We start from the raw sequence: 19,428 nt of genomic DNA on the forward strand, positions 1-19,428 counted from the left end.
GCAAAGCAAGGGGGGCGGGGGATTGAAAGGTGCTGGCTGAGTGTCACCCAGACACAAATTTCCCATGCCTCAGTTTCCCCATCAGAACTCCGGTAGTCTGGTTCCTGCCAGTGTAGGTGGGAGGGGTGGGTCTGAGCTCACTCCCTTCCCTGGTGGCCTTCCTCCTCTCCAAACCTGCATTGGGCCAGGTTGTGTGGCAAGTGGGGGCCCTGGAGCTGGGTCCCTCCAGGAGAGGACCAAGCGAGGGAGGTGCTGGAGACCAGCCCAGGCCGGGGATGGCTGACTGGGGCAGGCGGGCCCGGGCAGGCCCTCGCAGTAGGGGACAGCAGGGGCCGAGCCCAGGGCACACTTAGCCTTTGAGATTCCCTGGGTCTGGGGACTGAGGCCACTCCTCCTCCCTTTGTCTCCTGATCCCCCAGGGCTGTGGACCCCAGTCTCCCCATTGCACAGATGGAGGCACTGAGGCCTAGGCTGCAGGGGACAACCGAGAGCCACCCCTCAGCCCCTTCCTCCCCGGGGATGCTGAGGTCATGGGGAGTTGGTTAGTGCTCTTTGCAGGCCGTAAGTGCCCCCGCATCTTCCTCTCAGCCATCCCTCCCTCCAGCAAAGAGAAGCGCTGCCTCTCCAGAACACTGAGCCCTCACCTGTTCCCAAAGAAAGTTTTGAGCAGGTCCATATTTAGATTTTTAAAAATTTTATTTTTAAAAACTTTTCATTGTAAATAACTTTCATGAAAAAGGTTAAATTGCCCCACGGGGCAGGAGGGTGGATGTGGGACGCAGCCCAGGGAGTCCGGGTGGAGCAAGGCACGCCCCACGCCCCCGAGGAGTGCAGGCAGGGGCGTGGGGTACCCCGCTTCTTGGTCCCAGTAGTTCCAGCAAGCTCGGCATCCCTCCCAGTTAAGCCTCAGCTACAGCTACACTCACTACATTAGTCTGTCTGTCCTGCCCCATACAGCTTGGCTGCCCCGGCCCCCAAACCACCAAACCCAAACTTCCAGCTGCTCTCAGCCTCAAGTCGGGCTTAAAGATTAGGGATTTACGTCCCCTCCCCGCCCCCTAGGGATGGGGCCAGGCAAAGACCCCAGAGGCCTTAGAGAGGATCTCCTTGCCCCACCCTGTGCCACCACCTCATTTTGGTCTCCTCTCTCTGCCCCCTCCCCCAGTCCATCTTCTGCCCTGCTCCGCCCCATCCACAGCCTGCCCCGGCCCCAGGGAGGCTCTGCCAGGAGAAGCCTCCAGGGGGTTAATTTGCTGTCATCTAATTAGCATTTGTTGTACCTGGGGACTCTCTCTGGATAGAGACCTGGGGAAGCAGGGGGGAAGCGGAGGTGCTCTGGGAGGGCCCAGTTCTGTTCCTCCCCAGCCTGACCCGGGCTCCTCCAGGCCTCGGCTCTCATGGTGCAGGGTCCTTTAGCCGGTTTCTGGGGCTGGGAAGACGCGGAGCAATGAAACACTGTGTGTACAAGGTGGGGCTGGGGAGAGGAGGCAGCGATTCTGGTCCTGGGCCCTCGTTTTCAGCCTCCTGGGCTTGAATCTGATGGCAGCTGGGGCTGGTGGCCATGTGGCCTCTGGGGCAAGCCTTGGAGCCCTGGCCCAGCCCCTGCCTAGGTGGTGGGGTGTCTGTGGACCTGTGTTGGGGGGCAGTTCTGGACCCTGACTTGGGCACTGTCCAGAGGTGGGGCAGGGCCTGGCCTCTTACAAGAAGGCCCCCACGCTGGCCCAGTCCTGCAGGTCGGAGGCCAGGGTGGCATCCCCAGCCTCAAAGAGGGGCTCCGGGGGCAGGCAGCCACTGCCGCTCTCGTCCCAGGGGTGCTGCAGGAAGGATGTGGCCAGGAAGGTCTCATCGAAGTCCAGGCTGTCGGCAGCCTGCTCCACCGAAGGCCCCCAGGTGGCAGGGCAGTCGATGTGGCGGCCGTGGATGGTGAGGTCCACGTCCACGTGTGAGGCGGGGCTCAGAGGCGGGCTCAGCTCCAGGGCCTCCAGTGCACCCAGCTCCCCGCCCAGAGTGCCGGCGTCGAAGATGGCCTCCCAGTCAAAGTTGCCTTTGAGGGGTTCCAGCTCACCCTGCTCCTCCGGGGTGGGCAGCAGGGTGCTGGGGGGCCGCGGGACCTTGGCCACCCGCTTGGGCAGCGGCTGTTTGCGCTTATGCCCCAGCCTGCCCTCGCCTGCACCCCAGCCCGCCTCCCCGGTGGCCTCCTCGAACTCCCGCAGCAGCTGCTGGGCCTCGGTATTCACCGTCAGCGGCCCGGCCCGGGGGACAGCGCTGGGCTCCTGCGCGGCCTGGCGGGCAAAGGCTGGGTGGATGTGGACAGGGGGCAGTCGCCGCTTCTTGAAAGCGCCGCTCAGTAGCCGCTCCGCGTACTGGGGGTCAATGCGCCAGAAGCCCCCCTTGCCTGGTTCGTCCTTCTCCCGAGGCACTTTGATGAAGCACTTGTTCAGAGACAGGTTGTGGCGGATTGAATTCTGGGTGCAGGGAGAGAGCAAGAGAGAGAGGAACCGCTAGGTCAGTGGGGACGGGGAGATGAAATGGCACCTGGCGCTGCTGCGCACCCCCCATCTTTTCTCTGGCAGGGGAGAGGAGGGGGGGACAGACACACTGGTCTGCCCAGGCGGCTGCAGCTCTGGGACACCAGCCACAGGGCACTGGGAGCCCGGAGTGCTGTCGGAGGCTTTTGTTCCCTGTTGCCGGGATATCTGCCTGCTCAGTCATCCGAGCTCTGAGCCGCAGGGTGGCTCTCGGTGCCACCCCCGTCGCCTGCCCTCCCTCCCTCACCCTGCCGCTGACAGCCTCTGGCCAAAGCCCTCGGCTCCCCCAGGGCCTGGACCACCGTCTCCCTTTGCCTGGGCCTGGCTGGCCCTCTCTGTGAGTGAGTGGGTCCAGGGAGGGGGCTGGGCAGCCGAGAGTGGAGAGGAAGGGGGAGAGAGAGAGAGAGCGCGCAGGGATGAGAGGTGGGGGATCTGATGACTTTCCTTGTTTGTTGAGCCGGCTGCTGGCCTGGGCCTTCACCCCCCACGGCCCCCTCCCCCCACTCCAGGCTCAGTTGATTATTACCCAGCCAAGAGCTAAGAGCATAGCACTCATTCCTGGGGCCCGTTTCTCGAAGCGCAGCTGCACAGGCTTAGGGTAGGGTGGGGCTGAGGGTCTCTGCTTTTTCGGTGCAGCTGCAAATGACCCTGCTCTAGGGTCAGGGGCATTGGAAATGGCTTGGGACTGCGGTCCTGTGGCCTGCCCGCTTTGGGTGCTTCAGGGAAGAGTCTGGGCGTCCTTGGGGGGCCCCTGACTCCAACTAGCCCTTGATGGTGATGGCTGAAGACTCTTAGGGCACTGCCTACCCAGCCTCAAATCCACCATCCTCCTGCCTTGTCCATTCTTAGGTGCTTAATCTTGTCCAAAGCCTGCTGGGGGACAGGGGTCCTGGGCTGGGACGGCAGGGCAGGTGGGTGGATAATGCCCGGCAGCAAGGCTGGGATGTTTACATGGTGGCCTGGGCCCCTTGGCTGCTCAGTGCCTGGTTCCAGAGACGTGGAACACGAAGTGAGTGTGGTAGGCAGAGCCCCAGTGGAAGGCACCTGGCTCAGGTAATTGTCCCCCCAGGGAGGTTGGCTGACAGCGGGGGTTGGAGGCAGGAAACTGAGCAGAGGTTGAGGTGGGGGGCTGGGACAGCAGCTTTAGGAAGGCCCCTTACCCCCTCCACCCTCCATTGGGACACACCTGGCCCTCACATGCTAAGGCACCCCTTCCATTCCACCCTCCCCAAGCCAACTGCAAAAGGGCAGGACGTAGAGCCTGGCAGGGAGGCCACGTTCCAGTTTCCGTTTCTGACTCCCGGCCCCGACAAACCATCCCGGGGCAGGGCAGTGTCTAGGAATTCTAGGACTTGGGACAAGAATGCGCCTTCAGTTCATCGCTCTCCCCAAGGAGATTCTGTCCACGCAGAGTCTAGCCCTGGTCTTTGGCCTGGGCCTGCTGGATGAATGGCAGGTTATTTCCCCTTGAATCTCAGCCTCTGCACCCCTAAAGCCCTCCACCTCTGGACATTCTCCCTTCTCTCTCTCTCTCTCTCTGGAAGTCAAAGGAGGGGCAGTTGCAAGAACTGGGCTCCTTTGCAGGGCTCCCTTCTGGGGCGCTGGCCGCACCGCAGAGCCTACTTGGCCTGCAGATTTGGGATATGAATCCAGTGCAGCGTGGGGAGCGAGGAGGGAATGGGGAGGGAGCGGCCGCCGCCCGTGCCTCCTCTACCTGCCAGGTGGGATCTGCGTGGCGGAAGTAGCAGAAGTTGTCCGTGATCCACTTGTAGATGGCCGACAGGGTGATCTTGGTGGCCTTGCTGGCCTGCATGGCCATGCAGATGAGCGTGGCATACGAGTAGGGAGGCTTCACGTGCGGATTGGTGGCGTAGTCCACGTCGTCGGGGGGTGGGGCCTGCAGCCCCGGGGGCGCGCTCCGCGACGTGCACGACGACGTGGGCTTGCCCGGCGTGTGTGGCTGCCCCAGGCAGGCGGGGTCGGCCGCCAGGGGGGACCCGGGCGCCGCTGAACCTGGCACCTGGTGGTAGCCGTGGGGGTCGGTGCCCCCCGGGGGCAGGGCGGGGGCCTTGGCGTTGAGAATGGAGAATTCCTGCAGCCACTGCAGGCTGGTCAGGCTGTCATCCAGGGCGTCGGGCTCCTCCAGGCCGCCCTCCGGCCCGGCCTCCTCCGCCGGCCCGGCTCCCGAGAGGCGCAGCCAGCTCTCCGCCATGTCTGCGGGGACTCTCCGAGGGGGCGGTCAGCATCCACGGGCTGAGCCGGGGGTGGCCCGCCGCGCTCTCTGGCCCGCTGAGTCCCGCAGCTCCCGTTACACGGCCTCCCGGACGCGCGCTTCCATCTCGCGACCCCGGGGGCGCCTCCTCCGAATAAGTATGTGGTGCCTGCGAGGACCACGGTGGGAGCTGAGCACTACCCCACCCCCGAGGGGACAGTGTGTGTACGGGGACGCCCTCTCTAACATCATCCCCGCAGCTGGGGAGGATCTTTTAGTGCCGAGGTATGGGAAACAGAAGCAAGGCCCTGGGGTCCCACCCCCATCAGATCTGCCTCCCTCTTCCTTTCCTCTTCGAGGTTTTATTAGCCAAATGAAGAGGGTAGGGGCATCCGAGGCTATCCTTTTCTCCCGAAGAGCAGGAAATCAGGACCCCCTTCCTCCTCGCAACAAATGGAAGTGGGGCGAGAAGTTTGGGAGGGCGGTACGACGGGGCGGGGGCGGTGGAGGTCCTCTGATCCTTGAAAAGGAATATTATGATAGGGGATCATTGGGAAGGAAGGGGACGGAACAGTAACGGGGGGCAGGAGGCGAGTTTCCCCCAGACTTCTCCGATGTCAGTCCCTGGGCCCACCACTTCCGTTAAGGACGAATGAGAGAGCGGGTTGGTACCGTTGCCCACCCTTCCCCCTGGCCTGCAGCCCTCCCCATCCCTTACCTGGCTCAGAGCGCAGCCCGGGCCAGAGGAAGGTTCTGGAAGAAGTTGCTCCCACCCCCTGCGGCTCTCTGCCCCCAGCTCGGGGGCCCTGCCAGCGCCTCTTGCCGCCCCCCCGCCCGACGGCGCTTCTCTGAGCTACCGCGGCCCCGGGACCGGCATTAAGTAGCCGCTCCAAAGGCTTCTCCTGCTGCCATGGCGACGCTCCGCCCCCATAAACAGCTTCCGCCTCTGCCATTGGCCAGCACGTCTCCAAGGAGACCGCGGGCACTTGCCACTCTCCCTGGCGGCAACTCTCTTCGAACTCCCTCCTTCTGCCGCCCTCTCCCGCGCCACCCAACCCCCTACCCGCCGCTAAGTCCCGGCTCGGCTCATTCCCGCCCGAGGGCCCCGCGCTGGGGTCGGAGAAGCGCGCGGCCTGCGGCACCGGGAACCGCTATGGATCCGTTCGTTCTGGGGAACCAAGACTCTCGCCCCCACCCCCTTCCTGTCCCGTACGCTTTGAGGCGTCGACTGCTCCTGGGACGGAGCCTGGGGTTGGGGGGCTAAGGCTGGGAGCGGGCTCAGGCTCGGGAACCGTATCCTTGAGGTTTTCTTTCCTCTCCGCTACGAGTGGCACTTTCTCATGTTTCTGCAGCCTTTCCCTCTCCCCCGACTCTTAGGGTCTTTCTCTGGTGTCCCAGGCAGGTCTGACTTTCCGATGCCACCTGCCGCTTACATCCACAGAGGCGGCAGACACACCAAGGGGGTAGGGTAATCCAGTGTGTCCCAGTAAGCAGCTCCTTCCCCACCCGTATCCTCGAGGTTCCAGGAAGCTGACATTCCAGAGGCTTCTGCAGAAGCGCACTCACTCCTCTGGAGACAGCTGATGAAGCAGAGCCCGTGGGTAAAACTCTGAAGTCATGGACTTGTCAAATTCTCCTAGCGGGGTCATTTGCCCAATTAATTTCACCAACCTTTAAGTCACAGGGATTAAGAGTAGAGGGACTCTGGGGACTGTGTCCCTTCCTCCTCCCTTCCCCTGGCCTCCCTCCTGTCACCAGCTTTCCTGCTCTTTAATTATTGAGGAGCTGCAGGGTTGGACGTTCTCCGGTTTAAGGCGGCTGCAGAGGCAGTGGTGGGGGCTGGGTTGATTACCCCGCCTCTGCCCAGGAGCTGGAGAGCCGGGGTCGGGGAGGCTGGTGCCCAGACCATGAAGAAGGCCCGGCTATGGCGCATCACTCCCCCGCCAACATGCCTTTCCCTAGCCCTTGCCTCTCCCACTCCTCCAACTCCAGATCCTCTTGAGTAAAAGTATTAAAGAGTGCTGGCGAAAGTCAGACAGAAACTTTCACAGATAAGCTCACTTTGCAGTTAGCTCTCCTTCCCTTGTAAACAGTTTTATTCATTTTTAAGAATCATGCAGCAATCCATAAATATTGCATTCTTGATGTCCCCACTGTAGTGTGACCACAAGTGTACTCCAGGGAGAGGGGTACACAGATGGCACAAGCAGTATACACATGCACACACCAGGTGTGCAGACCAAAGCAAAGTGAGCGACCAGCGTGCTAAACTCCAGGTGGGCAGGACCCCAACTCCCAGGTGAGGTGGGCAGGACCCTAACTCCCAGGCCAGCCGGCTTAGAGTGTGGTGGTCTGTGCCCAGGAGATGCCTCAGCGGGGGTAGAAACTCTGGTGGGATGGAGCTGGGCAGAAGGAAAAAAGGGCTCTGTGAGGAAGCCGGGATCACACCACCTGAAGGCAATAGGGAGAGCACAGGCCTAGTGCAGCAGGAAGGAGCCCTGGGTCTCCATAGTTAGGCTGTGCCCTGTGGGAGAAGCCAGGCCCCACCTCTTCTCTTTGGGTGAACTGTTGACGTGACTATGTGACTGTCTCCAGATGAAGGACTGGGGCAAAAGGGTTGGCCACTGACCTGTCCTCATCAGGCTGACTGAGGACCAGCTCCTTGGATGGAGTATTTCTGTGGGCCAGAGAGCTAAATGACAGCCAAGAGAAGGCAGGGGGAGGGAGGAAGAGGAGAAATAGTAACTGAGAAACAAGTAAAGGACATTTCTAACCTAGGTATGCCTTGGACATGGGACTGAGGCCTTGAGGAATCTTTCCGTGCTTCTCCCTAGGAGAGGACTAAGCACCTGCTGCGAGGAAGGACAGGGATCCTCAGGAAGGGGGTCCTGGCCACTGTGGCTACTGTTTACCTGAATCTCCTTCATCTCAGCTCCTTCCTCCCTCCTCCCAGGTAACACCACACTGTGAATACTACCTGCAGGGGACAGGACAGGAGGTGGTCTGTGTGCCACCACCCCAGGGTAAGGGAAGCTCCCTGTCACCTGCTGCTTCTGGGCTCATATTTCAGGGAAATCAGGAAGTGGGGTTATTGCTCAGCTTATGCATCTTAACTATGAAAGGGGCGGGAAGAATGTAGGGGGAAGGAAGGAAAGAACATTAGGTGGGGCCTGAAATGGTAAAGTCTACTGCAGTTTTTCAGAGAGGGTTGGACGACAGGCCCCCCTCTCCATCAGGGCAGGATGTGAGCCACAACCACTAGGCAGTGAGACAGTCACTGCACTCCTGGCCTCTGCAGCCACACAGAAACGAAGGACCCCCTGGGCACCAGGCTCTTTTTGAGGCTGCCTTGGAAACAGCCTTGAATTTTTTTTTTTTTGTTTGAGACAGAGTTTCGATCTTTTCAATCTTGTAGCCCAGGCTGGAGTGCAGTGGCACGATCTTGGCTCACCGCAACCTCCACCTCCTGAGTTCAAGCGATTCTCCTGCCTCAGCCTCCCGAGTAGCTGGGGAGGGCCCTTGAAGTGAAGGCCCTGAGCCCTGATTCCAACCTCTGCTCCCAGCACACTGCTGCTGGCCACATGCTGCTGCCTGAACTTAGCTCAAGGCTCTCCATCACTTCCTTTGGGGACCTGGGCACCAAACTGAGAATCACTGGTCCACATTTCTCTCAACCATTAACAAAAGGGGGTAGAGATGGGGGCAACAGGGACAAGAATGCCACCTCCCAATTGAGTGAGGATGAATTATGGTAATATACGACCACTCCTCACCCAGTGCTTGGCACACAGAGGTGGTCAACACATGTGTTTCTTGAAATGTCACCTTAGGATGGAGTTGCAGGCCTCCCTGAATGCACCTGATCAGGAGAAATGCTCCTTAAGGGAAATCATCTTAACTGGGGGATTCTCAGATTCAAGGGCTCCTTCTTTTTTTTTTTTTTTCTCTGTCGCCCAGGCTGGAGTGCATTGGCGCGATCTCGGCTCACTGCAAGCTCCGCCTCCCGGGTTCAGGCCATTCTCCTGCCTCAGCCTCCCAAGTAGCTGGGACTACAGGCGCCTGCAACCATGCCCAGCTAATTTTTTGTATTTTTAGTAGAGACGGGGTTTCGCCGTGTTAGCCAGGATGGTCTCGATCTCCTGATCTCATGATCCACCCGCCTCGGCCTCCCAAAGTGCTGGGATTACAGGCGTGAGCCACCGCGCCCGGCCAAGAGCTCCTTCTTAACCGCACAGGCATGTGAGGCCCAGAAGACTGGCTCTGCCACCAGAAGGAAGGATTGTTTCCTTCAACCAACCTTTTGGTTGCTACCATTTCTTGTCCTTGAGAAAGGTGCTCCTAGTGCTTGTAGAGGGAAACGCTACGTCCGTGCAGTATGGCTCTCCCTTTCCACAGGAGCGATCCTCCAGCCCTACCCCAAACTGCAGGTTTCCAATTGGTTATGATGTGCCAGAGACCAGGAAATGCCAGAGGGATGTTTGTAACAAAGCTGCCAAACTCTAAGCCTTCTTGTTCTACCCCCTAAGGAGAAAAAAGATGTGTAAGAAATTAGCCCATGGACCCCAGCTCCACCTGAACATCAATATACCGTGAGGACATTCCAGAGTCCCTGCAAAAGGTCTCGTGAGCTGCAGTTCATTGAGTGGCTTTAGGTCACACGGAGAAAGGAGGGTTCCAGTTCCCTCTGAGAGGTGAGGGATTGTGGTTACAGGTTGTAACAGCTGTCACAGGAGGGTAAAAAGTCTCCAGCATCTTGCTGAGGATGCCCAGTAGGCAGCAGCTGAGTGAGGATGGATGGAATGCAGGGCAGGAGGGGAGCCCAAGTGCAGAGGCTGGGGCTCAGACAGCCAAAGGGCCCCACACACAGGGCCTCGTCTCAGAGTCCTCCAGGCTGCTGGATGACAAGCGCCGGCGCTGGGCATTCCGACTGACGGCATTGTCATCAGCCTGCCAGGCACCTGGGGAAGAGAAAATGAACATTACAGGAGCCAGACCTTTGGCCAAATCCAGATGGTGTCTCCAGCAGGGCAGCCCAGGAGCCGGCACGGAAGGAGCAGGATGCGTGTCACCTGAGACTCCGATGACGGTGCGAGCCACAGCACTCGTGTGTGAGAACGGAGAGAAGCAGGTGCTGACAGGTGCAGAGCCTGCTCCTGCCCCCTGGGCTAGGTACAGTCACTGCCACTGTGGCTCCCGGACAGGGAGGGACATGAAAGATGTTCCTTGTTTTGCGAACTTACCCTGGGATCCACTTTTGTATTTTAATTACTTGGTTTTAAAGTTTGCCTATATGTTACAATAGACAGGAAAAGGAAATTGGGCCTTGCTGAGCTATTTTCATTGGGGCAGGAAGAGGTGGGGGGAAGTGAGAAGACTGTTCGTTCTGGCCGAGTGTTAATGTTTTCTGTGGGGGCCCAGGCGGGGCAGGAAAGGACTGGCCACCCAGCAGGGTTCCTGGGATGGAAGGCTGCCTGGAGGGAGGACAGTGTGAGGCTCCAGTCCCCGTCACCTGCCGTTTTCCTCTCCTCCTGCACCTACGCAGCTGTTGAGGTTTGCTACTAGCTGGTGCCATCAGCCCAGCAGACACCAGCCCAAGAGCCTCGGGGTCCCACAGATACCATCACTAAACGCATCCGCTCCCCAAATCTGCTGCTGCCCCCACATGAGGAGTGCCAGCGCCTGTCTGGAAACCCATTCTTGGTGCTTCTCTTTCCCTTGTGCTGTGGATCCAATCCTCCACAGCCTCCTGTGGGCTCACTTCCTGGCCGTGTTGTGACTCCATCTGTAGTCACGCTAACCTGGGCTCCACTCCCAGTTTACAGCAGTGTGACCTTGGGCACATCAGTTTACTGTGGGCCTTGGTTTTCTCACCCATCAGATGGGACATGCGTACTGACCTCACGGGCTTGCTGTGAGGACTAGATGAGAGAATGCGAGCGTTGGTGAGTATCTGACTCCTAGAATAGCCTGTGCTCAGGCTCCTCCAGGCCATCTCGCCTCTCCCCTGGGAGTCCTCTTCATCTCCTGCCCACAGATGAGCTCCTCCCTCCAGTGCCCTCCCTCCAGTGAGGCTAGGGCGCTCCTGCCTTGGGCCTCGGCTGCCTCCACTCTCAGGGTCCCCTGGCTCCCTGGGGTAGGGAAGGCATGTCGTCCTCCGGACCCTGTGGGCCTCCCCAGCCGTGTCTCCCAGTGGCCTCCCCTCACGAGGCATCTCTGGCCGGGGGAGGCCCAGTGTGCTCCTAAGTGCTCCCTGCAGCCTGAACTACTGCTCCACGCACACGTCACATGGCAGAAACCGCTAGGTCCTGGAGCTCCTCCATGGGACAAAGCTCCTCCTGGGCAGGGGCCGTGACTTCTTCACTGTTGCAGTCCAGAGCCCAGCACAACACCTGACCCATAGGAGGACCTGTTCAGCGGACAAGGCCGACCAACTGTAGAGTGTGGCCGTGAGGTTGAGAGAGGCCACTCACAAGTGTCCAGGGTCAGCCTCAGGCCAGCCCAGGACATGAAACCCTTTAATGGCATGTAGAGTCAACAGGTATAAATGGCTTATTTCCATCAATGCCTTGGTGTGCTAATCCACCTCAGGCTCTAGTAACAGTCTCTGGTGCTTGACCCCAGGGGAACAGTGAGAACAGGAGAGTCTTGGATCTCTCTCTCATATCCAAACTGAATTTGGGATCTTTACTCCCTGGGGGTGGGTACTGGAGCCTGGGACATGAGTCAAGGTGTTTTTTTTCACCTCTAATGGTGGCACTATGTGTCTAAGTGTGGCAGGATAAATATAAGGCAATATTAATATTGCCTTTAAAGTGAAGAACCCAAAATAAAATGAGCTGTTTGTTCATTTATATAATTTGGTAGATCTCATACCTATTCCTCAATGTTTATGGGGCAGGACTCCGGAGCTGCGGCTGTTCAGTAGGAAAGACCAAAAGCAAATGGTAAACAAGAGAGAAGACACACATGCATGCACAAATAAAAACAGCAGCACCACCACCACCACCGCCGCCGCCACCACCAGCAAGCCATGGAATGCTGGGCCGGAGAGGCTGCCCAGAGAGCTGTCCTGACTCTGAATTCACAGAAGTCCTTGCTACAAACTCCAACCTTCTATTCTATAGAAGCCTTAGCCAGGGCAGAACATCGGTTACTTGTGGAAGACTCAAGAATCAGATCTGAAGTCTGCTCTCCTGGCCTCTTGGTATGCTCTGTGGTGAGGGAGATCCGGCAGCAAGCGGGGGGCACCTTCCCCTGGCAAGGACCCTGAGGGGCCCACGGCAAAGCCCTGCTGCTGCTCCCTCCTCAGCCTCATTCTCACAGTAAGCCTGTCTGCGGAAAGTCAGTGTGGGTGCTGAGGGGCCTTCCAGAGCAGGTGCCGCCATTTTGTCTGGCTGAATCCAGGCCCCTCCAGCCAAAAAATGGAGCACAGAGATTCAAAATCCTTAGAGGGAAATGGATAAAGGTGCTTTCCGTTCATGTCTCAGTTTTTGGGATATCAAAAATGGGAGTATGAAGAGACCTCTAGAGGTAGATTTTGGGAGTACATTCAGGAAAATTTCACAAGCCCCTTTCCTGCCTCTACAAAGCCACTTATTAAATATAAGGACTGTAATAGTTCAACTGTCTTTGTAGAGTTGCTCTCCAGGGGAAGGAGAAACTTAGTTTGAAATTTTCCTTAGTGCCCACAAAGTGCAAGTAGCATCTTAGTCTTGAGTTTTGAGGCCTCTCAAAAAGAGGAGAGAATTCAATTTCAGGTCTCCACAAACCTTTTTAGATTTCACTGGATATGCTCATTCCAGTGGAATGCAGTCATTTAAAAATTGTATTGGTATTTCCACTAAAAAGATCCAAATTATCTTTGCCTTTTTTTTTTTTTTTTTTTTTGAGACAGGGTCTCTTGCTCTGTCGCCCAGGCTGGAGTGCAGTGGCGTGACCTCGGCTCACTGCAAGCTCCGCCTCCCGGGTTCACGCCATTCTACTGTCGCAGCCTCCTGAGTAGCTGGGACTACAGGCACTCGCCACCACGCCTGGCTAATTTTTTTGTATTTTTGGTAGAGATGAGGTTTCACCGTGTTAGCCAGGATGGTCTCGATCTCCTGATCTTGTGATCCGCCCATCTCGGCCTCCCAAAGTGCTGGGATTACAGGCGGGAGCCACCGTGCCCCGCCTTTTTTTTTTTTTTTTAAGATGGAGTCTCACTCCATCTCAGCCTCCCAGGCTGGAGTGCAGTGGTGTGATCTTGACTCCCTGCAACCTCCGGTTCCCAGGCTCAATTGATCCTCCTGCCTCAGCCTCTCGAGTATCTGGGACCACAGGCGTACGCCACCAAGCCTGGCTAATTTTTGTATTTTCTGTAGAGATGGGGTTTCACTGCATTGCCCAGGCTGGTCTCCAGCTCCTGGGCTCAAGTGATCACTTGCCTCAGCCTCTCAAAATGCTGGGATTACAGGCGTGAGCCACTGTGCCCGGCCTATCTTTGCCTTTTTCCATCACTGACTACCCCAGGGCCTTCATAGAACTATCACTTGCCACGATGACTTTCCTGCCACCTATGTAACAGTCTGCCAAACTCCTCAGAGCCACATCTGCTTAGCGTGGTCTCGCAATTCTAGTCTTACTACAACCTGTCACACCCATCAACTGAGATCTCCTTCCTTTATTCCTTTCAGAAGGAATCTCAGAACACACTACTCCCCAGTGAAAAACCAAAAATCCACCCTTGGTCTTGGGGCCCTGGAAGACCCAGAAGCTTCTTAGGGGGAGAGGGCTAGAATGACAAAAGTGCCTCTAAGCCCCTCACCAGTGTTATCAGAGTGGTGAGGACGGGAACCAACAAGGTTCGCAGTCCTTGCCACCAGCCAGGTCTCCTGGCAGAGCCCGTGAGCAAGGTGCAGGGCACAGGGACAACATGGGATGCAGCCCGGGCTCCATTTCCCACTGGCCCTCCATGAAGGGAGTGGCACCCACTTGAAGAGGGAAATAGACTCAAGCAGAGACCAGGCGCATGTGCAGCTGTTCTGACGGGAGAGAGCTGGCCACAGGAGCAATGAGGCGCCAAGACGGCCAGTGGTATCTCAGCCCCAGGATAGAAAGCTGAACTTACAGCTGAGTGTGAAGACGCCTATTTATTCCACGGGACCTACCAAAGTGGATATTCCTGTCTGTAACCTAGCAGACACTTCCAGAGAGTTCTCCAGCAAATTTTCTGCCAGTGTGATGCTAACAGTGGAAGCAGAGACACATTCTGCCTAGAGAGACGTGCTTTTCCCTCTCAAGTAAAAAGGCAACCAGAGGTTTTGAGACATCACTTTCACCCAACTACTGACCAAGGATGCCAATTAAAAACAAATCATGGCTGGGCGCAGTGGCTCACACCTGTAATCTCAGCACTTTGGGGGGCCGAGGTGGGCAGATCACCTGAGGTCAGGAGTTCAAGACCACCCTGACCAACATGGTAAAACTCCGTCTCTGCTAAAAATACAAAAATTAGCCGGGCGTGGTGGCGGGCGCCTGTAATCCCAGCTACTCAGGAGGCTGAGGCAGAGAATCACTTGACCCCAGGAGGTGGAGGTTGCAGTGAGCCGAGATCGCGCCACTGCACTCCAGGCTGGGCGACAGAGCGAGACTCTGTCTCAAAAAAAACAAAAAACAAAAACAAAAAAACTCAAATCCTTTCCATTGTCCTTGCCACAGAAGCGTTCCCATTTTTACTGAACAGAAATCCATATAGTCTCACACATATTTTTTTTCTTGGAAAATCTTAGTATATTGAATACAGCCCCTCATCTTGAGGCCTCTGGTGAGGATATAATGGGACACTTAACATGCCTATACCTGAGGCCCTCTCCCGAGAGCCAACACAGGCATTTGATTTCGTGTCTGGCACAAACTGTGAGCCCACCATAATCTCTAAATAGCTGGCTCCACAAGTCACCCTAGGGAACCCCAGGGCTTCTCTCTTCCTCCCAGTCCTCACTCTCCTCCCATGATTCCATGGAGTAACTATCAACAAGCAGGTTAGCTGGAGGGAGTCAGGAAGAGGAGGAATAAGCTGTTTCCACTAGCACTGTTGGCTAAAACAACTCCCAGCAGCTCCCTCTGCCAAAAAAATAGGGGTGGGTAAGGGAGTCCCTTGAGGGAGGCAGGAACCTAAATTTCTCTCCTAAAGCCAAGTAAGGGGTTGACCAGGGTAGAGCTGCCTCAGACACAGGGCACAGCTAAGAAAGAGACATCATCTTCACCCAACTACTGACAGAGGATGCCAGTTAAAACCAAATCCTTTCCATAGCCCTTGCCACAGAAGCATTCCCATTTTTGTAAAGCAGAAATTAATACAGTCTCACAAATATTTTTTCTCATAAGCTCTTAGTACCCTGGATACAGGCCCTTGCCAATTAGGAATGGGAGCCTTGCTCACAGCCCCACGCGAGCGCCTCCCAGGTGTGTGCGTGCCCAGCAAGCTTGGACGGGGTGAAGCATTGGCAGGGAGGACAGTGCTGGCACGGAGTGAACACGAACTTTCATACCAAGTCTAGAGAACATACATGAGTTTAGAAAATAAACAAACCAGACAGACAGATTTACATTTGGCAAAATGATGTGAAACACAAATGGACAGATGGAAGCCAGGCCAGGAGCGGGAAGGCAGGGAGTGAAGCAGCCCCTGGGCCCCAGCAGCTCCAGTCCAGGCCTAACTGGCAGGAGGCTGGCCCCGTGGTCAACGCTCCCTCCTCCACGCTCAGGCAGGAAGGGGGTCTTCCCTGGGCCTGCGCAGGAGAAGCAGGGGAACTGATACTGCCTCTTTTGGTCTCACTGAAAATGAAGAGGCCTGGGCAGTGTCTTTAGAACAAACTAAATAGAAAATGACTCAAGAAAGCCCTTTGAAGGGCTGGAGAAAGTATCTCTAGAGAATTCCAGCTTCCCCTGCCACAAGCTTGTGTGGGGCCAGAGTGTGCTTGGACTGTGTCTTGCACAGGCTGATGGAGAGTGGCAACCACAGAGGTCGTGTGGCTCCAACGCCTCCAGCCACGTCGCTGAGCGAGTAAAGCACTGGACCCGTGATGTGGCTGTTCTGAAGCTGAAGTGAGTCTTCGTTCAGGGAATGTTTAAGAGGATTCAAACAACACGATGTGAAGGACAATTTCTGTCGTGAAACCCGGAGGGGACATTTGACTCAGTCCGCTTGGGCAAGATGTGGATTTTAGAAAAGCAGTTTTTGGAGCCCTTGAACGGGCACACTAACTAAAAAGGCACTCGGTGCTTAAAGTGTGATTAACATGATCCTGTGTAAGGCATTACCTAGATTTGGTTTAGCATCATGAGGAGGAATAAGGGGCACTCTGACAACCTGATCACCTGTGAAGTTACAGCTCCAGGGAGCATAGAGGAGCCCTAACTCGACCTCTCCGTTGGGATCCAAATCCAGTAGTATGTACAATGCAACTGGTAACCCAAAGCTCACTGGATCACAGAGCCATTCCCTAGCCTCTGAAACGCTGGCTTTCACATTCCTCTCTGATCCTAGCTGAAACACATTTCTTCTGAGGAGCTACAGCTTCACTTTTAAAGGGCGCAGGCAATCCTTCCAAGACCTTCGTAGAGAGGTGGTGTCTGTCTGCTCAAACTTCCTGTTGATGAAAACAAGACTGGGCCACCTGACATGGTACCTGCAAGGCCGTGATGTGGGGTGGAGAGTGGTTAGGCCAAATCGTTAAGTTTTGCTTCTTTCTTCCTATCCTAATACTCTCACTCAGAGCAAGGCTGGCTCATTGCAAAAAGCTCAAGGACTCTCCCAGGCCTTCTTACTTCCTTCAGCAACTGGTCTCCAGCACTAGCACACCCCAGGCCTTCTTGGCAGGAACTGCAGGGCAGGAGATGGGTGTACCAGGGTGAGAGCAGGGGTAAGAGCACAGGGATCGTCTCCCACCAAGTTCATGTTCAGCAGACTGACACTCACCAGGTAAGCAGACCTCAGAGCACAGCTTATTGTCCAGTGCTTTCACGCTTGCGATGTCAAAGTCATTGTTATTGTCACACTCCATACCTAGAAATGCGCACGTCCTCTGGCCTGTAACGGAGTTAATGCAGTTAGAGAGGGGCTGGCTGTGTTTTTCTCTGCGTTGCTGTCCTTAAAATAAAAATCTTAAGGATGGAGACAAAAAAAATCAAATCATATGTTAAAAAAAAGACAATAATTAAGCGGATAAAGAGTGGACAAGAAAGGAATCACGTTGTGTGGGCATGTCTGTGTTCTCGCGCTTTCCTGCTGTTTCCCTAGAGCCCTTTCTGTCTGCTGCTCCCTAACAAGTCAGATCACTGAGGAGGGCTGTGGGACACAGGCTCAACAGAGAATACTAGAGCGAGCAGAGCTGGGCAGAGGCCAGGCTGGTGAGGCTGCGACCAACCAGCAGAAGCTAGGGAGCGCCAGTGGGGAGGTCATCCTGCTCATGCCTGCATCTGCCTTGGGTGTGAGCTGGGTGTGTTTAGGACCACATGGCTCTGCAAAATAAGTACATGAAACAACAACTAAAGGTCTTAGGGTCCATAATTTTGCATATCAAATCAGAATGACTACATTCACAAAATTATGATTTCCTTCTTTATGAGACCTGAGTTGTTATTTTCAGTGTGTTTTAAGTGGCTAACCAGAAATCTACAGACATGTAAGAAGGGAAGGGAAAAGTTTTAAAAGTTGTTTTTTATCAAGCTCCCCTCTTTTTTTCTCAGTGAAACAGAGAGAAGAAAACAAATCCATTCCACGGGCTAGGGAATGTCGGTGAAACAACCTGGCCACACCGCACTTCTTAGAAGCAAATATTCTATGGGAGAAACAATCACAAGGGGTAACTCTAGAGCCTCAAGCACTGAAGTCATCAACTGAGTTGGTGACACTCCAAACCCCCTTGGGCTGGGGTGCAAGAGCTGACGGACGCAGCCTTGGCGGCCACCTTCTCCTTCAAGCTCCTTGGCCAGGTGGGAGCCGTCAGGTCCACATGCACACCTCCAACACTTCCCAAGCGATGGCCAGCGCTAAAGCAGAAGCAATAGGATGACATCTGCTGGTGCGTCTGTATCCAGGCCGGGCATACGTGTGCTCTGGAGGTGCCCCTGAGGGAGGGGCCTCAGAGCAGCAGGGGGAAGAGTCTGGCTCCTGGAACACATAGTGTTCCCTGCTTGGGGGAGACTTTCCTGCCCTCCTTCTTCCTCCTACGTCCTTGCTCTGTGGGCCATTCCTTCTCTTCTAGCCTTACTGGAAACAACATTCTTCCAACTGAAGATGTAACTGAGGCCTGAATTATGGTAAAGGAAGATTATTACAACAGCCTTTAAAATACTTGCCTAAGCTGAGCTCCTGAAGAAACTTGGACCTGTCTCCTTGACCACGCCTTTAGTACGTCTGCCGGCCCGAGAGTCCTCTTTTACAGTAATGTTGACCATATTCCTAACTAAAGCAAGACCTGACCAGCTGCCAAATAGTCCTCCCCCTCCCCCCAGTGGAAGAAATGGCTACTGCTATTCAACACTGAGAATGCCAGAACAGCTCTGTGGGGCTCCACTGAAAACCTGCAGCAGGGAGGCTGATGATGGGAGCTGCTTAGAGAGCTTCCGAATCTACTTCAGGTAAATATGGACCTGTATGTATCTCCTGCAGCACCCGCACCTGACATCCATGGCTCTGAGGCCCAGAAAGAGCTGAGGAGGTCATAGAGATCATCAATGCTCTGCTTGCTTTGATGTACCATTAAGAAGACGATCTTTCCTCTAACAGCCCCATACAACTGAGCAGCGCCACCACGTCATACCGGTACCCTTTTCTTTACCCCTTAAAGAATACCCAGGAAAGAAAGATAACTAAAGGAAGTAAAGGACCAGATCTTTTACCACCTTCCTGCGTGGGTGATCCATCCTCTTCCTCTATAACATCATTTCCCTAGGACAGAAGGAAGGCCCTGTGAGTCTATGAAGCGGCAAAATGAGTAAACTGATTGGCTGAAGACAGAACTAATCATCCTACTGGTATCTAACTCCAGGGCCTACGTTAATAGCATATATTTCCATCTGTGTTTAATATGCCTCAGAGGCTGAGTAGAGGCAGATCTTGCTTGGAGAGGCACCATCTGCCTACAGGGATTAGATCCGAGCCACATTACCCATATATGCTCAGAATGGTCTGTCAGGAACACCCTTGTTAATAGTTTAGCTGATACTGTTTCTCTAAGGTGGAAGTAAAAATTACTAAATGAAAGAGCAAATTGTGAGATCATAAGACTTTCAGAAATCCCTTAAGATCCCAAACCCCATCCAGATCCTCCATTGACAGGAGTTGGCTCAAGAAGAGTTCTAGGGCTCTCACTGTGAGCTGGCGTTCCACAGCACACCATGGTCAGGGCACGTCTCACACTGAACTGTGGTCCTGTCTGCCTGCTAGACTGGGCTCCTAGATGGGTGCAGTGGGCTGGGGGTAGGCAGAAACCTCACCACACAGGTCTGTATAGGTCTATATGTGCCCTAGCACCAGTAGAGCACCTGTGACACAGTCCTCCATGTAAATACTAGTGGAATGAAGGACAATATATTCTCAAGGCCAGGGGCTGGCCAGAAAAGTTCCCTCTTGAACTCACTCCACACCAGTGACCCTGGGAACCAGTGGCCCCACTCACTGGACAGTCCACAGGCCCGGGAGCA

At 55.5% G+C, this 19,428-nt stretch overlaps 2 protein-coding genes and 1 long non-coding RNA gene across 9 annotated transcripts in view, besides 12 other annotated features; 1 reads left to right on the top strand and 2 right to left on the bottom strand.

Annotated features, from left to right (window-relative positions):
- On the bottom strand, positions 678 to 5,590 carry FOXJ1 (forkhead box J1). 2 transcript variants are annotated; one of them, NM_001454.4, is made up of 3 exons: positions 5,459 to 5,590; positions 4,243 to 4,909; positions 678 to 2,465 (listed from the first exon to the last, which is right to left on the bottom strand). In NM_001454.4, exons 2-3 carry the CDS (start codon positions 4,738 to 4,740, stop codon positions 1,698 to 1,700), a joined length of 1,266 nt encoding a protein of 421 aa, NP_001445.2. In that variant the 5' UTR covers positions 4,741 to 4,909; positions 5,459 to 5,590; the 3' UTR covers positions 678 to 1,697. The 2 variants fall into 2 exon arrangements, with proteins under 2 accessions (NP_001445.2, XP_047291622.1); XM_047435666.1 differs by having other exon boundaries at positions 4,243 to 5,590.
- Positions 1,373 to 2,034: an enhancer, noted in NCBI's record as "H3K27ac-H3K4me1 hESC enhancer chr17:74133109-74133770 (GRCh37/hg19 assembly coordinates)". NCBI's record gives its function as "activates a minimal SCP1, AML or CMV promoter by ChIP-STARR-seq in primed H9 embryonic stem cells {active_cell/tissue: H9 hESC(primed)}" and the evidence as "EXISTENCE:reporter gene assay evidence [ECO:0000049][PMID:30033119]".
- Positions 2,035 to 2,694: an enhancer, noted in NCBI's record as "H3K27ac-H3K4me1 hESC enhancer chr17:74133771-74134430 (GRCh37/hg19 assembly coordinates)". NCBI's record gives its function as "activates a minimal SCP1, AML or CMV promoter by ChIP-STARR-seq in naive and primed H9 embryonic stem cells {active_cell/tissue: H9 hESC(naive and primed)}" and the evidence as "EXISTENCE:reporter gene assay evidence [ECO:0000049][PMID:30033119]".
- Positions 3,357 to 4,016: an enhancer, noted in NCBI's record as "H3K4me1 hESC enhancer chr17:74135093-74135752 (GRCh37/hg19 assembly coordinates)". NCBI's record gives its function as "activates a minimal SCP1, AML or CMV promoter by ChIP-STARR-seq in naive H9 embryonic stem cells {active_cell/tissue: H9 hESC(naive)}" and the evidence as "EXISTENCE:reporter gene assay evidence [ECO:0000049][PMID:30033119]".
- Positions 4,428 to 4,617: a silencer, noted in NCBI's record as "silent region_9003". NCBI's record gives its function as "represses an Ori minimal core promoter by ATAC-STARR-seq in GM12878 lymphoblastoid cells {active_cell/tissue: GM12878}" and the evidence as "EXISTENCE:reporter gene assay evidence [ECO:0000049][PMID:35858748]".
- Positions 4,678 to 4,747: a silencer, noted in NCBI's record as "silent region_9004". NCBI's record gives its function as "represses an Ori minimal core promoter by ATAC-STARR-seq in GM12878 lymphoblastoid cells {active_cell/tissue: GM12878}" and the evidence as "EXISTENCE:reporter gene assay evidence [ECO:0000049][PMID:35858748]".
- On the top strand, positions 4,901 to 18,993 carry RNF157-AS1 (RNF157 antisense RNA 1). The gene is made up of 8 exons (NR_040017.1): positions 4,901 to 5,025; positions 7,575 to 7,693; positions 9,267 to 9,431; positions 9,767 to 9,909; positions 10,619 to 10,682; positions 11,639 to 11,944; positions 17,478 to 18,133; positions 18,395 to 18,993. It is a non-coding gene; the product is annotated as an RNF157 antisense RNA 1 (long non-coding RNA).
- Positions 5,426 to 5,585: a silencer, noted in NCBI's record as "silent region_9005". NCBI's record gives its function as "represses an Ori minimal core promoter by ATAC-STARR-seq in GM12878 lymphoblastoid cells {active_cell/tissue: GM12878}" and the evidence as "EXISTENCE:reporter gene assay evidence [ECO:0000049][PMID:35858748]".
- Positions 6,819 to 19,428, bottom strand: part of RNF157 (ring finger protein 157) — a 98,020-nt gene continuing 85,410 nt past the window's right edge. For 3 of the 6 annotated variants that reach the window (NM_001330501.2, NM_052916.3, XM_017024120.3), the window contains 3 exons: positions 18,628 to 18,673; positions 16,700 to 16,810; positions 6,819 to 9,698 (listed from right to left, as the gene is read on the bottom strand). In NM_001330501.2, coding sequence (NP_001317430.1) covers positions 9,580 to 9,698; positions 16,700 to 16,810; positions 18,628 to 18,673 — 276 coding nt within the window. In that variant the 3' untranslated portion in view covers positions 6,819 to 9,579. Of the gene's footprint in view, positions 9,699 to 16,699; positions 16,811 to 18,624; positions 18,674 to 19,428 lie in introns of all 6 variants that reach the window. The other 3 variants (XM_047435287.1, NM_001438721.1, XM_047435288.1) reach the window with 1 other exon arrangement.
- Positions 9,178 to 9,726: an enhancer, noted in NCBI's record as "H3K4me1 hESC enhancer chr17:74140914-74141462 (GRCh37/hg19 assembly coordinates)". NCBI's record gives its function as "activates a minimal SCP1, AML or CMV promoter by ChIP-STARR-seq in naive H9 embryonic stem cells {active_cell/tissue: H9 hESC(naive)}" and the evidence as "EXISTENCE:reporter gene assay evidence [ECO:0000049][PMID:30033119]".
- Positions 9,178 to 9,752: a biological region, named in NCBI's record as "H3K4me1 hESC enhancer GRCh37_chr17:74140914-74141462".
- Positions 9,693 to 9,752: an enhancer, noted in NCBI's record as "active region_12792". NCBI's record gives its function as "activates an Ori minimal core promoter by ATAC-STARR-seq in GM12878 lymphoblastoid cells {active_cell/tissue: GM12878}" and the evidence as "EXISTENCE:reporter gene assay evidence [ECO:0000049][PMID:35858748]".
- Positions 9,727 to 10,274: an enhancer, noted in NCBI's record as "H3K4me1 hESC enhancer chr17:74141463-74142010 (GRCh37/hg19 assembly coordinates)". NCBI's record gives its function as "activates a minimal SCP1, AML or CMV promoter by ChIP-STARR-seq in naive and primed H9 embryonic stem cells {active_cell/tissue: H9 hESC(naive and primed)}" and the evidence as "EXISTENCE:reporter gene assay evidence [ECO:0000049][PMID:30033119]".
- Positions 9,843 to 10,022: an enhancer, noted in NCBI's record as "active region_12793". NCBI's record gives its function as "activates an Ori minimal core promoter by ATAC-STARR-seq in GM12878 lymphoblastoid cells {active_cell/tissue: GM12878}" and the evidence as "EXISTENCE:reporter gene assay evidence [ECO:0000049][PMID:35858748]".
- Positions 11,422 to 11,922: an enhancer, noted in NCBI's record as "H3K4me1 hESC enhancer chr17:74143158-74143658 (GRCh37/hg19 assembly coordinates)". NCBI's record gives its function as "activates a minimal SCP1, AML or CMV promoter by ChIP-STARR-seq in naive H9 embryonic stem cells {active_cell/tissue: H9 hESC(naive)}" and the evidence as "EXISTENCE:reporter gene assay evidence [ECO:0000049][PMID:30033119]".

The sequence above is a fragment of the Homo sapiens genome, chromosome 17 (genome assembly GCF_000001405.40).
Source record: "Homo sapiens chromosome 17, GRCh38.p14 Primary Assembly".
NCBI classification, from domain to species: domain Eukaryota; kingdom Metazoa; phylum Chordata; class Mammalia; order Primates; family Hominidae; genus Homo; species Homo sapiens.

What these genes read in the sequence shown, in the direction of transcription:
- FOXJ1 (NM_001454.4), bottom strand. Translation starts at nt 4,740, where the DNA reads ATGGCGGAGAGCTGGCTGCGCCTCTCGGGAGCCGGGCCGGCGGAGGAG. An exon ending in ACGCAGATCCCACCTGGCAG is followed by an intron (nt 2,466 to 4,242) that starts GTAGAGGAGGCA and finishes CCCTGCACCCAG; the next exon opens with AATTCAATCCGCCACAACCT.